General features: G+C 32.9%; 1 protein-coding gene across 6 annotated transcripts in view; it reads right to left on the reverse strand.

Moving 5' to 3' along the window:
• The window catches only part of PCDH9 (protocadherin 9), a 927,503-nt gene that overhangs the window by 612,294 nt on the left and 297,434 nt on the right, over positions 1–17,775 (reverse strand). The gene's annotated exons all lie outside the window — the stretch shown is intronic.

Below are 17,775 nucleotides of genomic sequence, written 5' to 3' on the forward strand. Positions count from 1 at the left end.
TAAAACATTTATTTTAATATTAATGATACTGATAATAGCAATCCACTTTGAAATGAAAATAATAAATAATTCAGGAAAATAATTTTGGAAAAGCAATATATACATTCTAATAATTTTAGGAAAAACAATATATAAAGTCTGATTATTTATTGAAGCATGGCTTTTTGGGATCTTGTATTAGCATTCTGTTACAATTCTAAGCTCTTTTATAGAAGTTTTTTATTCAACCTTACATGATAAGGATCTAACAAGTCCAAGTGAACTTTTTCACTTCCTTTCAATGAAGTAAAATAAAAGATGTTGCTAGACTACTCACATAGGTATTTTTTTCTTATCATTTGATTACCAGGAGATCTAAGATAAACAGAGTATGAGACCATGAACACAACACTAATTTCTGTTGGTGTTCTTATATCATTATGGCAAGATGTTGTTTAAAGTAATCCTACAATCCAGAATATTTTGCAATCACCCAAACAGCTACAGATTATGTAAAATATATATACATAACTTTATTCAGCTTATAAAGGGTAGGAATCTGTGGGGTGTTTATGTGCATGCAGCAAAGTAGAAGAAAGCAGCAGCATAAGGTAGCTGGCTTCCTTGGAGACTCAACATGAAAAGAAACAGGAAATCAGTGTAAATATGATTCATCCTCTTGACACTGAGCTCAGTAGCTCTGAATCCCTTTTTGCCTTTCTTTTAGCCCTAGCTCTTTTTAAGTTCTATTAGGTCTTTTTCTCTCTCCCCTCCGTAGCACAGAAACTGTGAGCTTGGAAACAGGGCTTGAAAATTGTGCTTGCAAGTAAGAATTTGTAGCAATTCCTTTCCCTTTGGGTGACTTCAATATCTGGTAGACTCATGGAGTATTAGAGTTGAAAGGGGCATTACAGATTTTTTTCCTCACCTCTGTTATAGATGAGGAAATGAAAGCATAGAGACTAACTTCTCTGAGATGAAATATTCAGAGATCATTGAATGATGTATTTTATATAGATGACATAAGGTAAAAATTATCTGAATTCCCTTTAAGATAATTGAAGCAAAGACAAATTCAGATATATTCTCAATCCCGTATTTTAAATTATATGTTGACATCCTTTTGAAAGTACCTTTGAACTCTGCTCAATGTTTCTCACAATTCACCCAGATCACTACTGTGCAAAAGGCTAATAACAAATACCTAAAATAGACTAGATTTAGACCACTAGCTTATTCAATCCAGATGGCCATTAATAGGGGGAAGAAAACTTCCCCTGGAGACACTTTAAACCAAATCTGAAGGAACTATCTGCTTAACTCAATATTAAAATGTATTCATAAAACACACCTTTTATTTAAGTCAAAATATCTCTTCAGAATCTGTGAGATCAAAAGGGCCAATTGGATATTCTAAAAGATCAGCTAAAAAGGAGGATCTGGTGAGTTTAAAATCAAATACTCTAATAAAATGTATGTGAATACAATAAAAATATAGCTCTGAGTCTAAGAGCTGTATATGTAATTTATTCATATAACTTGGATCCCGTTGTGTTAATGGCTGATTGCGATCAAGATTTGACCGAACTTTACCAACCTGTACTTTGTGTTTTTAAGCTGATGCCATTGTACATATCTTTTCAAAACTACAGAATATTATTTCCATTCCTATTCCTTAGTGAGCTCTCTAAAGCATGAAGAAGAATAGAAATTTGCTTATCGTCTTATTCAAATAAAGAGCTAAACACAATAAGGGAAGCTTAACGAAGGAAGGAAAACCCATATGCACACATACACCTAATAAAGTGTGCATTCAGCAAATAGTTACAAACTTTTAAACAAGCAATAGAAAGTACATACAAAAGATAACAAAACCTTATTTTCTGCTGCTCATTAAACTGAAACTACTTGCAGATGAAGTTTTCTTTAAAAATAAAGTCTGTTCCTACTTTCCCTTATTTCAATTGCCTACCTTATAAACTGAACACCAGCTAATAAAACACACTTCACTTGTTGAAACTTTTATCCACTCATTTGATGGTTTATGTTGATGTCAACTTAGTCAAGTTAGACATAGCAACAACTTTTGCTCAATTTATTCTTCATGTGTAAACAAGCATACATTTTAAAATGGCCTGCCACGAAACTGGGCCTTTGAGAATATGTTGCTTGTAAAATTGGTACACACTTGCCTTACATATATTTTACTGATGCAAGATATTAAGGACTAAAATTGTCTTTTCCATTTTTTACCATCTTTGAGAAGCCTGAGCCAAATGACTCACCATATTCTAGAAACATTTTATATTTCAAATCCTTTTTGAAACATAACCACTAATGAGTTATTTGATTATCATAATCAGAAACACTAATCACTACAGTCTTGATGAAAATCCAGATATTATCTCAAGAGGGCTCTGGTCGAATAAATGTGTTGACATGCTATTTGTTTTTATGATAGTTATTCAGTGACTCAGTGTAAAATAAGTTTATGGAAAAGAAGTGGCAAATACTTGGTGTGAGAATCAGATACAAATAGAACATACGCAAGACAGAATCTGCCATAAGTTTTCTTTTAAATCTACTAAAAGATAAAGAGATACATGAATATTCCCTTACTAAAATGCCTCAGAGTAATAATGCTCCTTATTAATATAAACAGTTCTGCAAGTTTAAGGTGTCATGTTTTCATTTTAACATCATGTATATGATAAACTATTAAGGACAGCTCCCTCTGCTATACCCAAATCCCCTGAAGAGACATCCCTACATACAGGACATAATCACCTCTCTCTCATTCCCTCTCCCCTACAAAACAGGTACATTAGGAAAATGATATGTCTTAGGTGTCCAGAAAAGGAAAATTGGGGGTGACTGACCAGTGTCATGAACTGTGTATGGTTATGTTCGAGGATGATTGGTTCCTTCCCAGGGATTTTGTGAACATTTAAGCTAAGAGGAAATGAAGAGGGTCTCAGTTGGTGATTGAGATGGAAATTGAGGGGCTAGAGTATAACAGAATCCAACTGTAGCCATGTACAAGTTGCGAAGATACAGTCTAAAGTAAACAGATGTTTTGAGTAATGTGCAAGTACAAAATAGAGAGGAAGAGAGAGGGGAGAGGAAGAGAGGGAGAGAGAGGCACAGAGAAAAATTGCCTTATTTATCATTTTGCCTCCATTTTAGATAAAGACTTTAGTGTTCATTTGTTTCTCCTTGGTTTCCACGAGATCGCTATTTTAATTTAGCTAGTGTAAGTGAATTTTTGCTTCTTATAACCAGAAGTGTGTTCAACATTGACTTTTATAATTGTAACATTATACATTATTAAGACTCTCTTTTTAAACTGGTAGGAGACTTAGCACTTTATTATTGTTTTTGATGGTAAGAGCAAAAAAAGAGAAACAAACTTTCAAATTCAGTATTACTTAGGCAAAAATAAAATGAATGTATCTTAATTTACCATTTTAACAGCTTTTATAATCATGGTAGCAATAAATTTTACTAATTTTTTCCTCTTGTAAAAAAATAGAGAAGTAGAGTATGTACTCATAAATAAAATAGACCCACTATTTTATATTATTATGATAAGGTTACTAAGTACTCCCCACATATCAAATGCATTTAAATCTAAGTAATAATACAACTTTATTACTTCTTTTGTAAAAGATTTATGATGATATTTTTTGATCATGGCAAAATAAATTTACTTATAATTAATTGAACTCTTACTTGTGCTTTCAACCTTTGGTTTTCCACTTATTTCTGTCATCATGCACTTTGGAAGGAGTATTCTGCACCATCTATTTTCAACCTACTTAATTCTGTTATGCTTCAGCTTTGCTAACACTTGACAAAAATTACTCTTGGAAAGCCATCATTCTTTTTTTCTTCCAGAATGCTAATCTCTCCCCTCCTGTATGTCTCTGTTCATTTCACTATCCTTTACTGTTCCTTTCCTGTTGGAAACATACTTCACGTTGGTGTTTCTCAAGTCTATATTATTGGTTATTTTATCTTCTCACTATTTAGTATTTCTCTGGGGAACTTCATACAATTCTGTGCATTCAGTTGTCTGCAATATATATCTAAGTGATGACATCCAAAGTTACTGCTTCAGGACTAATTGTTCTATGCTTCATCCCAAACAAACAAAATATTTTTTGCTAAATATTTCAGCTGAGATTTCTTCAGGCATCTTAAAACAAACTTGTCCAAAATTCAAGCTTACACCTTCCTTACTCAATCCTCTTTCCCCTTGGCATCTGAAGCAAATATAACTTCTTTAACATTCATTCATCTGTATGCTAATTGTGTGCATGTTTTTGTCTATTTCTTCCTTGATGTCTTCTGTGCTATGCATAGTGTCTGACAGGTAATAGATTCTTAAAACTGTTTTGAAATAAGCTCAGTATTTTCAATTTCAAATTCTGCTGTGGAACCACACATTACATTGCCATTCATAGAGCTACAAAAATTTGCTATGGCTAATTGGAGAAACTGAATATTTGGAATTGTTTAGTTCAGAGAGTTTGCACGGAGGCACAGTCCTCAGAGTGTTGTAATGGAAAAAAGGACTGTATTCAGTGTAAAACCATGAGCAAGTGATAAAACACTTAGGCCTCAATCTCCCTATGGGGATAAAAAACCCTCTTCTGCCTGTCAAGGAAGGTGGACAAGAAACTCAAATGAGATAATTAGATGTGAAATAATTAGAAAAGTATGAGGGACTAAACAAAGTCAGTTTCAGTTAATATTAAAATTTAAAATTATATATATTATTCGTATTTCTTATTCGGTTTTTAAACTATCCTGATGTTCATTTTTCAAAATAGAAGATTAGGGTAATGTTTTTTTTAACATCCTTACATTCTTGAAATATATCCATGTAACCAATAACAAGTTTACCCCTACAATAACCTGAATAATATGCTATCTGCTCCCCTTACAGATACTGTTCCAAGAATAAGCACTGGCATACTATTGTTCAGAAAAACTGATACTTGATATCTAAACACTGTTTGTATTTACATGTAAGAGATATGACTTAATAAACCCACACATTTTAAGACATGTACTTTTAACTTTTGCTGGGGAATGATAGGATTAGACAGATTTTTCCTATGCATTTTTAAAGAAGATATGCAGAATAAGAATGAAAGAAAGTATCCCAAAATTGAATAGGTTTCCAGGTAAAAAAGGAAAAGCTTAACTGTATTCTGACTGTCACTAAACCTCAGGACCCTTATCACAACTTTCTGAAAATTCCTGAGCTGTAGCATTAATCCCCTTGAAAGGGAGACACTCAATTTACAGTGTATTTTGCATGTCCCTAAACAAGTCTTGAATGATGGATTTCACTGTCTGACTGAGGTGGTTTACCTCAGCACATAATTTCTTATATTAATAACCTTCCCCACCAGAGTGAATGACCTTCTATAAATATAATTCCTCCATTCAATCAAAAAATTAAAGCCTGTAACCACCTCACAATTCATCATCTTTTCACAGGCAATTGTTGAGGCAAAAACAAACACAAAACCCCAATCCTCAAGCCATGTAATGTAAAATTATGCAGTTTTCTGCATTTATGTAACATGGATATATTGAAAATTACATAGCATTTCATACTCCAAATCAATTATATCGTGTGAATTCCTGTTTCCAGTGAGCTATAATTTTCAGAGAAAAAGATATGTGTATACTCCTTTCCAAAATCAAAGGTATCCTAAAACAATAGCTTCCTGAATGTTTGTATATTTTCAAACCATCTTTTAAAAACTGCTTCTTCCTATGAATGTCTCTGAAATTATAGTAAAACCAGATTACAGATTTATCCTCAAAATCTGCAACACTACCATTTACATAAAACTATCTTAGAGTGAATCTCAGAATTTAGGAATGAAGGTTTCTTCTTTGACTGAAGATGATCAATGCTTATACTGAATTTCATAATGCATAAAGATCCTAAAATATATACTTAACCTCATAGAAGTTCTTTTTCCCTCTTGCAAAAATCTCTACCTACAAGACTGAATCTAAGAGCAGATAACTGAGTTGTGTCAGAGAATCCCCTGGTAAATCAGAAGATTCAAGACAAAAGACTTCAGATAATTGGTATACTGTCAAAATAAATAAATTATAAATATTGAATAGCATTTTAAAATGCAATATATTTAACTACCTTTAATTATGGGAACTATGCAAGCAGACATTGTATTTACGTGAGAGAAAGGGTATTTTTAAAAAACCGAAAAAGCAAAGTTAGATTTAGTATAGCTCTCTGTGTAAGTTAGGCAACTCAGTCATCGTGAGCATGTTCTGTTGCCTTATCCAGTTGACAAAACTAGAGTGAAGGGTTGTATTTTTTGCATATGGTCCTTTGATAAGCCATCTTTATTTTACCAGGAATATATAAAGTCAAAGCCAATTTCAGCGGAAGTCCTAACGGATCTAAAATTTGCCACATGAATACACACACACATATGTCATGAATATATGCTTTGCATAAAGCAGGAGAAAAGCACATATTCAAACTTCACTGGGAGCATAAAAAAAGACTAATACACAGGATTTATGTCTCAGAATATCAGACCTCAAGGGAGGACCACGTATACAAAAAGTAGTTTAATAAAAGGGGAATTGTTATCTGACTGCTTCCTATTTTGAGTACAGCGGGGCTGAGGTGAGAGGTTAGCAAAACTTCTGGATAAATATACAAAACGATTCTAAGAGTAATAGTTTCAACAGTCATTTAAACTGTCCTGAAATGTATTCAAGTCATTAGTAGCTGATTTCACATAGCTAATCAATTTGTAGAACAATTAAGGTCAATTTACTGTTCAATTTAAGGTCAATATCACTGCTGAAAGAACAAAAAAAGTTTATGAAAACTTTGTCAACTATTCCCTGAGATGACTTGTGACTTAGGTTAACTTATCTCATTTGTAGGTAATGTCAATATTTATTTTCATAAAGATAAACCAGATTATGTCTTCAATTTATTATATTCATGTATCAGAAAATGCTCCTAACTGAAACTAGTAGTCAATCTTGTGATTGACTGTGAATTGATTAAACAATTGTGTGGGAAACAAGTATAATACAAATGTACTTCATCAAAAATTATTAATATTTTATAAAAATGTTTGATATTATATAAAATACATATCTAGCTGTAAATGTCATGTTCTATTTGGAATTATTAAAAATTGATCAGTTATTTCTTCTTCAATACCAGGAGAAGTATTTCCCTGCTTTATTTTTATGCAAACTTTCCCTTCCTAACCTGGGAATAAGACAACTGTAGTACACTTTGCTTCCAAATGGACAGGAGAGCTAACTCAAGGAATGCTAATAGACATTTTGTATCTTTAATTTTCACGATTCTACAAATGTGTAGGAGTAAAGTAATAGGACAAACTTATTCCAACAACTCACCCAGAAGTAACTTCCTTATGTTCATAGCCTCCCTGGGCTTTTGGCTTGAATAACTTTGTTGGTGAATAAACATTGCTACTGCTTCATGCTTGGAAAGTTGTGAATGTAATTGTCTGTCAATGATATGATGATTTATAATGCTATCTGTTCCTATTGCTACTACTGCAGATAACTCTAATTTGCTGCTATTATATTAGAAATGAGGAGCTTATTCTTTTTCAGTTTTAGAGTTAAGTTTTTCTTCAGATGATAGAGCCAACCACAACTTGTATACAACTTGGAAAAATGATAATGCTATCAAGTTTAGCTACTTTTTCCAACTCATTCATTTTTTTCATCTTTAAAAGAAAACTCATTATATTATTAATTTTTTAGAAACCAATACACTTTAGAAGTGTGTTTTTTCACTTTGTATTTACATATTATTAAATATTTAGTTTTATCTTATCACAAGAGTTTGAAAGGGATGAGAATATTTATACGTAAGTCAAAAACTGAAAATAAAACACGGTTAACATAGCATGATTCAGATAACTAAAAACTATGTATAATTTGATAAAAACTAAATACTTGGTGAGTATATAATCACATAATTATAGGCTCACCATTTGAATAAGGGGAAACTGGATAATTAATAATTTAATAATTTTCACAGAATTAATTTATAAACTGCTGCACCTGGCTAGTACACATAAACAGTTTTATAATTGACACACATTTCATAGCTAATTATATGCACCAAATCTTGACTATATAGAAAAAGTAAAATGAGAAAAACACAGATCATCTTCTAGTTGTATACATAATTATATGTAAACCCTGTTTCATAACAGAGTTCTTTCTAAAAATTTTGTATTCAAACATTTTTAATCTGTAAATTGAATTATAAAGACTTTATCTTAAGCAAGACAATTAAAATATCTAATTTATATAATTCTGGCTTTTAAAATATCCAGTTTAAAATAAAAAATCTATCATCATAGGTAACATTGATAACTATGTGCCAGACATAGCTATAGGTAACTCAGATATACTCTTATTTTTGTTCTTTATAACTACCCAATACAATGTATACAACCACCAACGTCTTAATTTTAATAGATAAGGAAACTGAAGCATAGAATGATTAAGTAATTTGCTTAATGTCACAAAGCCAATTGGTTAAAAAGCCCAGATGTGAATTCCCTGGCAGGGTTAGAGGGCCCAAGTGTTGCCATTGCACTTTTCGATTACTGCTTTATTAATGAGGATGACATGGTTACTAGCATCTGCAAAAATTTATTAATGCATCTCCACAATTATTTCATTTTACTAACTATAAACTATTTTATGAAAATGTCCATTTTCTGTTTAAATACAGTACTTATCATACTAATGAGGTTTAATACTTTTATGTTTAAAAACCGTTTAAAGATACAGAATCCTGCTGCGGCATTTATTCCCTGCAGTGAACTTTCAACCTTAGGGCCAACTACAAAAGCACACACTCATGTTGGTACAGACGTAAAGCAAGAAGCATGAGGGCCAAGAAAAGAAAATGATGCTATAGAAGTAAAGAGACCACCTTTTCTCAAATCCTGTAACCTAAATAGTGCATCACTTAAAAACTATTCCTGTAATTTGTAAACCCCTCTTCTAAACCCTTATCAAATCAAATCGCTGGTGTTATATTCAACAACATATCTATTCTTATCTCAGAAAGTCTTCAAATACAGATAAAGCTCAGGATTAATTTTTAAAGCATTAACCCTTTCAGGTAATACTGTTTTGAAAATATTTTAAAATATTCCTATTTTAAAGTATTCTTCCTACCACGTTATTGTTTTCAAACACATTGCAGATTTAAGCATCTGCTTTACATAAAAATATAGTGTCTGTACTTTGTACATATTTTCAATCATCTTTTTAAATTAGGTCTGAGTGGAGGTAAGAATTTTGATGTTCTTAATAATTCTACTTAAAATTAGATTCTACCAGTACTTAAATATACTAGAGACGTTCTTCATGTAAAGAACATATATAAGAAATTTCCTAATGTACTAATCAAAAATCAAACAAACATATAATCTGCAAATGTATATAATCAGTCTTATACATATTTTGAAGAGCATATTAATACTTATATAAAAACTATATATACATGAGCATAGCTACATACATACATGAAATATATACTCATGACAAAAATGTAAAACATAATACCTGCAGGTATGCTCAATATTAAAGGAATTTCACTGCTCAGAGTTAGAATGTTTAGAATTTTGAGTTGGCTGGTGCAGCTATATTGCTATTTCCATCTGTAGGGATTTGGATTAGTAGAAGGCAATATTCCACAGGGCAAACTGGAACACTGGAAGGCAGAATATAAGCCCTTAATACTTTTCAATACCGACAAAGTACGATGAATGTATAAATGAATGACACAAATATAAACATGATTTTTTTTATAAAAAACATGGAAGATCTCAGCAAATGATCTGAAACTGTCAAATTGGAAATAGAAAGAATATAAATTACAAAACTAAAAGGCATAAATGGCTTAAAAATAAAGTTTAAATCTGTTCGCTGTCAATTTGATTCAACTACTAATATTTTATTCTTAAATACTTTTAAATGGACTGAGAAGTGTGGTGCCAGTGACAGATGATTGTTCAGAGAGTTTAAAATACAATTTCTAAATATTCTTTGTTCAAGCCATTTTATTTTTAAAAATCGAGTGGTTTTCAATAGTGAAAATAACTTACTTCCCCATGTTCAGCATCCTAAAAACCTTCATTTACATTTTTGGCTTACCGTATCTATAATATACACCTTATAAAATATTTTTTTCTCATATGAATTCACTTAATATTTTAAGAATTTTCTATGTATTCTGTTTTGTAGTTCTATGGGGAGAAGCCACAATTCACAGATCTGATTTAACTAAGTGACACTAGAATATAAAAGTGTGTTTTTCTCTGCACATTATCTTAGTTGCATTTCCTGTTCATTTCTTAGTTCAAGGCTGACATATGTAGTCTTCACTTTTTATTTCTTGATCCTCTATTTAAGCTTGTTAACTTGATTTTGTACATTCTTTCTTTATTCATATTGCATATTAAATGCCTCTTTCTAAATAGCATATTTGGCCACTTTTTAATGTATATTCCCTTTATCAAAACGTTTATACAAACAAACATATCATAATATAATAATATGTAATAAAATAAGTAGATAGTAGCATAAAATACTTTCCTAAGAATTTTCAATGATACTTTGTAAAGTGAATTTTTGCCTCTGGATATAATTTAATCATCATTCATTGCCGAGCTTCATTTATTTATTATGTACACATGATCATCTGAATAAAACAGCAATGGCAATAGTAATACCCAAATTACGATGTTATATTTCCACAGATTATTTTGTTTCCTAAAGCATATTTTCCCAGAGAATCTTTAATAACCAAAGTATGAGTTTAAATAGAAAACTAGTTTCCTCACGTATTTCACATTGCATTTGACTCCCCTTCCTTGTCTAAGCAATGGGAGGGCATGTATTTTTTAAATGATTTCTCCTGATTACAACTTCTCCTGTTCCCTTTCATAACTACTATATAGTGCCTGGAAAAAAAATGAAGATATCACTTTTTTATGTTGTACCTTTGTTCTTTAGATTCATTAAATGATGTTGGAAATACTGTAAAAATAACAGTACTTTATGGTAATTGTTTAAAGCTGCAATGCCTGCAAGGTACCTCACAGTATCTTGTAGTAATTGCTTAAAGCTGCAATGCCCTGTGTGGACAGCACCTTATTCACTACCCAACCCACTCACACACACACCCTATTGATGCTCATGCTTTATCACTAGGCTCCTAATCCAAACTTCCTGTTTTCTTCTAATTAATATCACATCACCCTAATTGGGTTTTTCACTTGTAAGCTTTGTGGATTAACGTTTCTATTGCTATGTTAATTAGCTCTTACGTACCAAGGACGATCTCTACAACCAAGAACCAAAATTACCATTCTAGAATATCACTATAATAACATGGGCATGAGCAGTCTCTCCTGGAAACCATCCAAACAAATTTAATTATTGAAGTATTTAAGAGATTATGTTGTAAAACTGTTTTACCACCAAAGCAGTCACTCACATAGCATAGGTACTCAGAACAGCATTTTGAAGAGGTTTCAGTCTAATTCCACAAGCGTTTTTCATGTACTTACATGTGCTACACACTACAATTTTTTGTGTTAAGTGCTTGCTGGTAGAGTTCCTATTTTACATGAGCTTACATTCTTTTAGGGGTGATAGATACACAAAAAAATCAGTGAAGCATGACATAAAGAGTTTTATCAGAAAGACAACTGCATACAAGAGTACAAGGTGATTTTAGAGGAGTAGGCTAGGGAAGTCTTAGAATAACATTAGTATGGCCTTCTAATGAGAGATTTCCGGTCTCACTGTTTTTCTTTGACTCTCAGATGGTCATTATTCCAAGGAAAATAGTAAAGTCTTCATTTGGGGAAATTATATTTATGTTTCCACTAAAATTAGAATGACTAGGTTTAATTTCAGCTCTGAATGACCAATTTACAGTTTCAGACAAGTGCCTAGTGCCTAGTATATTCATTTGCTAGGGCTGCCATAATGAAGTCCCATAGACCGGTGGCTTAAAAAACAAATAAAAATGAATAAGATCATGTTCTTTGCAGGGACATAGGTGGAGCTGGAGGCCCTTATCCTTAGCAAACTAACGCAGGAAGAGAAAACTAAACACTGCATGTTCTCACTTGTAAGTGGGAGCTAAAATGATGACACATAGAGGGAACGACACACACTGGGGCCTCTTCGAGGGTGGAGGATAGGAGGAGGAGGAGGGAGAGGTTCATGAAAAATATCTAATGGGTACAAGGCTTAATACCTGGGTGATGAAATAATCTGCACAGCAAACCCCTATGACACAAGTTTACCTATGTAACAAACCTGCACGTGGACCTCTGAACCTAAAATTAAAGTTAAAAACAAAAACAAAGAAAACCCTAATTTCTCACTATACTGGAGCCTAGAAATCTGAGAATGAGGTATAGACAGGGTTAGATTCTTCTGAGTCCTCTTTCTCCTTGGCTTATAGATCTGGCTGTGTTCTTTCTTTTTCTTTACATGTTCTTCCCTCCATGAGTGTCTGTGTACTAATCTCTTCTTATAAGGACACCAGTCATGTTGGATTAGGCCCCACTCCAGTGACCTCATTATAGTTTTATTACCTTGTTAAAGATCCTGCTGCCAAATACAGTCAGCTTCTGAGGTACTTGGGGTCAAAACTTCAACATATTAATTTTGGGGAAACACAATTCTGCCCATAACACCTACTGAATACACATTTGTTAGCTGGAAAATAAGTAGCCAAAGTAATCACCATTGATCAAATAATACTAATTAATTTGAGGTCCTATTTGAACTCATATCCCTCTCTCTGCACCCCTGCCACAACCAGAGTAAGGGTGGAAATTTTTAGGAAAGACACATTTAACATATTTCCTCTCTCTGAAGATAATCAGGTGGAAAGAACACTATACTGGGTGTCACGAGCCATGGGTTCCTTCTCAGTTTGCTGCACACTTGCTGCCTGGCTTGGCAGATCAGCTATTGGGGTCTCAATTTTCTTATTTTTAATGTAAAATATGAAAGAGAAATATTCTGATTTTTCTCCAAGTTAAAGGAGACTTGACTGGCTTCTATCTTATAACAGGGTGGGGTCATGATGATGAAGATGGTACTAACTTCTAGCATGTATTTAGCACAAGGTTCAGACACTCTATTCTGTCTGGCTCTTAATATGGAATTTCGTGTCTCACAACAATACACAAGGTGGATAGTATTATTCCCATTTTTCTGTTGTGAAAATGGAAGCTCAGAATACTGAGGAAATCATCTAAAACCATATTACACATTGCTATAGTCTGAAGGTTTGTGTTCCCCCAAATTCATATGTTGAAAACTAATTCCCAGTGCAGCAGTGTTTAGAGATGGGCCCATTGGGAGGTGATTAGGTCATAAGGGCAGATCCCCTATGAATGAGATTAGTGCCCTTATAATAGAGACCTGAATGGTGCATGTTTGCCCCTTCTACTATGTAAGGACACAGCAAGAAGTCACCATGTCTGATCTAGGAAGCAGGCCCTCAACCAGATATTTCTGGTGCCTTAAATTTGAACCTCCAAGCCTCCACAACTGTGAGAAATACATTTCTATTTTTTATAAGTTACCCAAACTAAGGTACTTTGTTATAGCAGTCTGAACAGACTAAGACAGACATAACGAGGGAAAAAAAAATGACTTTGTGTTTCCAGTTAATAAACTTTCCATATCAGGGTGAAGTAGGACTATACTTTCATAGTCATGACTGGTACAGTTATTTAAAAAATCTCTTGACTCCATCTGCAATGCTGAAAAATGCTTTTTGGACAGAGAATAACTTTGATAGAGAATGCATATGTTACAGGAAAAAAATTATGCTCTTTTAAATGTACTTACCTTTAAGTTAATAACTTTTTAGCAAAATATGAACATGTTTTCATTTTTCCTCTTTAAAATTATACACAAAAACATAGAAACTTATGCTATCAAAATTATAGTTATAAAATATTTTAGTCAATTAACACAGAATAAATTTTTATGCTCTTATAAAACCCTATTTACTAGATTTCTTATTTTATTATGATATTCTTTCATGTTTGGCGGCCTTATAACTTGTGACATTATTTTTTTATTTTTAATTATTAATTTTTAATTTTTTATATATTTTTTAGATGGAGTTTCACTCTTGTTGCCCAGGCTTGAGTGCAATGGCATGATCTCAGCTGACTGCAACCTCCACCTCCCGGGTTCAAGCAATTCTTCTGCCTCAGCCTCCCTTGTAACTGTGATTACAGGCATGTGCCACCACACCCAGCTAATTTTTGTATTTTTAGTACAGATGGGGTTTCACCATGTAGGTCAGGGTGGTCTTGAACTCCAGACCTCAGGTGATCCACCTGCCTCCGCCTCCCAAAGTGCTGGGATTACAGGTGTGAGTTACCACACCTAGCTGACTTATTAAATTTTTTAAATATTGTGTTCTATACCATAATAATTTGTACACAAAAACACTCGTTCCTATGATAAAAGGTAGTGGTGTATTTTTTGGAATGCATCTGTTACTGCATTGCATATTTTAAAAATCTTATCTAGCCTTCACAATAAGGAAAATGTTGGTAGATACTGAGGGACACAGTGAGACTGAATTTTCATATAAAGTGCACCATGCAAAGATCTTTGTAATTTCTGGCAGTAAAATAAATAGAAAACTGAAAGAGATATTGAGCTCTTCCAAGCTCTCCAGTGATGTATAATCTAGTCCTAGTGGCAAAATCAGGCTCATATTCTCATACTACCAGTTGGTAGTTATCCGGTTAAACAGAGAATTTTATCTCTGCCTTCTGATTATCTATATTAATAAGAAACCAGTATTCATCTCATAAAATGGAGATGTGGTCTTTTTGTCTGAAAGATATTCCTATGATAGGATCTAGCCCTGCAGAGACTTTGAGAGTACTACCTCAAACCAATGTTCTATGCACCTTTATTTTATTAAGGTAATTCTATTTAGCATTCTGTTTTCATTCCAAGATGACAGTCATTCAATACTGTAACACCAATTGTGACCTCAAAGATCGTTTTGTGTAATTTTTACAAAATGACCAAAATTTATTTCCTCTATTATTCCTGTTATAAAATATAATCTAAAAGAGCAATTTTGATCTAGTACTTTCCTATGCCCTGTCAGTGACAGCAGTGGTGAAAACTTCAACTAAAGATTATTTACAGGTGGAAAATGAAACTAGAGAGGATGCTGCTTGGTTTTCCATTTCAGAGCTTTGTTTGCATTCCATATAGCCTTTGATCTATAAATATAGGATATCTGGTATAAAAGCCATTGAAGAAGTATGAGCATGAAAATTTTATGAAACCATTTTTACAAGATTACTTCATCTGACTACACATATATTGTAGGGATTATGAACAACTGTCCTGTTGCCATTCATCTATTAATGATCATGGTCATTAATTCCTTTGGAGGGGAGGGAAGAAGGTGGAACCAAGTCTAGAGACATACAAGAATGTATTTTGCACATATTAATGGTAGCTTACATCTAGAAAAAAAACAAGCAATAGCATAATGGCATCAATGTTACCTCTTTTAATGTAATTTTGTGTAGGTGTCCACATTTTCTGACCCACCGAAAAAAATTAAAATGAGAAGGCACACTGGGAAACCAAACAAATTTCCTTTTTATGACAATGACCTCCATATAAGAAGCACACATACAAGTGGTGAAAGGAAATGTGATTAAACTGTCTACCAGAAGCCTTTTAAGGTTCTCATAAAAATTGGATGTGCAGGAAATACTTGAACAATGCATTAAGTGGCAGCACACACTGAATGTGTTCAGGGTTTTAAAATTTTCAAAAGAGAAACCTATCTTTTCTGTCCACATCAGCTAATGTTTTTCAACTGTTTTGTTGACTGCAGCTCACTGAACTACTATCCCCACCCTACTTACTTCAAAAAAGGAATCAGCTTAGAGCTTTGTAAAATCTGCATTATTTATGAATAGAATGTTATGTATTTTTATTTATGAGTTCAATTCCATTTATATATGTCACCTTTTTCTGCTTTGTTCATTTAACATTCAAAGATGAGCTAGCCATATGATAGTAAAAAATTAAAAATGTAAAAGTATTCTCAGACTACATGGGGTCTCCTTTACAAACAATATATTAGGAATAAGAATAAAATGAATTCATCCCTAATCAACTCACCCTACTCAGTGATTTATAAATATATGGTTGAGGAGTCTCCAAAAAAATAAATTACTTGGCCAATCAGAAGGCTTATGCTGTATCCTCAGGAAAATGTAAGTGAATGTGATTGATGTAGGAAAGAAATGTAACCTGTTTAATTTTATTCTGAAGTTAATGATATTTGAGAATGGTGGTGGGGGGGAAGGAAGTCAAAGATGCAAATGCTATCACTCATAGAATTTCTAATGCATTGTAGTTCTAGTGTTCTCAAGAGTAGGAAGCAGCAAGCACATGACTTTTCTGTTCCACAGGTTTATCCGTAGGTTGCCTGTGTCAAGTCCTCAACACCTGATATCATCAGCCATCGATTCTCTTAAACTAAGTGTACTCTGGTTTAATATTATTAATCATTTCAATGCTTGTGAAGATTTTCCAGAAATGACAATATGGTTACCAATCAGCACCCCCCGACACCCAAAACACTTATGTTGCAAAGTCCTATGGAGTGGCTGAGAAAATTTATATTCACAGTGACTGAAAATGAGTAAGGTACTAGAGTGCATATATGTATGTTTATGTGTGTGGGTGTATGTGTTTGCTTCCTTGTGTTTGAATAAAACAGTTATATTATTATGAATGAAGTATATGGTAGATTAGTGAGAGGAAAGTCAGTAGCCAAATGGACACAGACATTAGTACCTGTGATCGTAACAGGAAGGAAATTGTGCAGTCTCTTTCTGGATACCTTACAGAATAATTCATGATCCAGCTTACTTGAAAGAGTACCAGGGCACTTTTGATTCATAGGATGCAGAAGCCTTGAGTAAAAATCTTGGCTCTGCCACTTGCTAGGTGTTTAATATTAAAGTATATTCACTTAGCTTTCCCGTGTCTCAGTTTTTTCCTCCATAAAATAGCAGCCTTAGCCAGGAGCATCCTTTCTGTTGTCTTTCAGCCATAAATCACTTTGAAGAAACGAACTCGTGGAGTCCTCCATAATTCTTTAATTCCAAAGCAATTTCTGAAATAATTCTGCTATAACCATCAAATCAGATGAATATTCAAAATTTATATCAGCAAAATCAAATAAAACCAAATAGAAGAAATAAATTCTGAAAGCATTACTTCTCCAGAGAAATTGTTTAAAGGGTAGCATATTCTAATTAAATATCCTATTTAATTCCCACTTGTGAGAAAAGAAGCCGAATCATTCACTTTTGAAAGTTTGGGGGAAAAAAAAACTTTTTATTTTTTTCTAGGCTTAAATGTGTAAATCCTCACATATATATATATATATATATATACACACACACACACGTATGTATATATCATACATACATATGTATTTATATGTGTATATATATCATATAATGAACTTGCAAAGCTCTTTTAACTTATACATTACAAATTCAGAATACAGTATCATCATAGTGAAATAATTTAGGGTAAAAATATGTTCGCTAAAACACTTCTAGAATGTTCAGCAATGTGCCAAAAATGTACAAAGTAGCCAGTTGTTTAGAA

This window comes from Homo sapiens, chromosome 13 (genome assembly GCF_000001405.40).
Source record: "Homo sapiens chromosome 13, GRCh38.p14 Primary Assembly".
NCBI classification, from domain to species: Eukaryota; Metazoa; Chordata; class Mammalia; order Primates; family Hominidae; genus Homo; species Homo sapiens.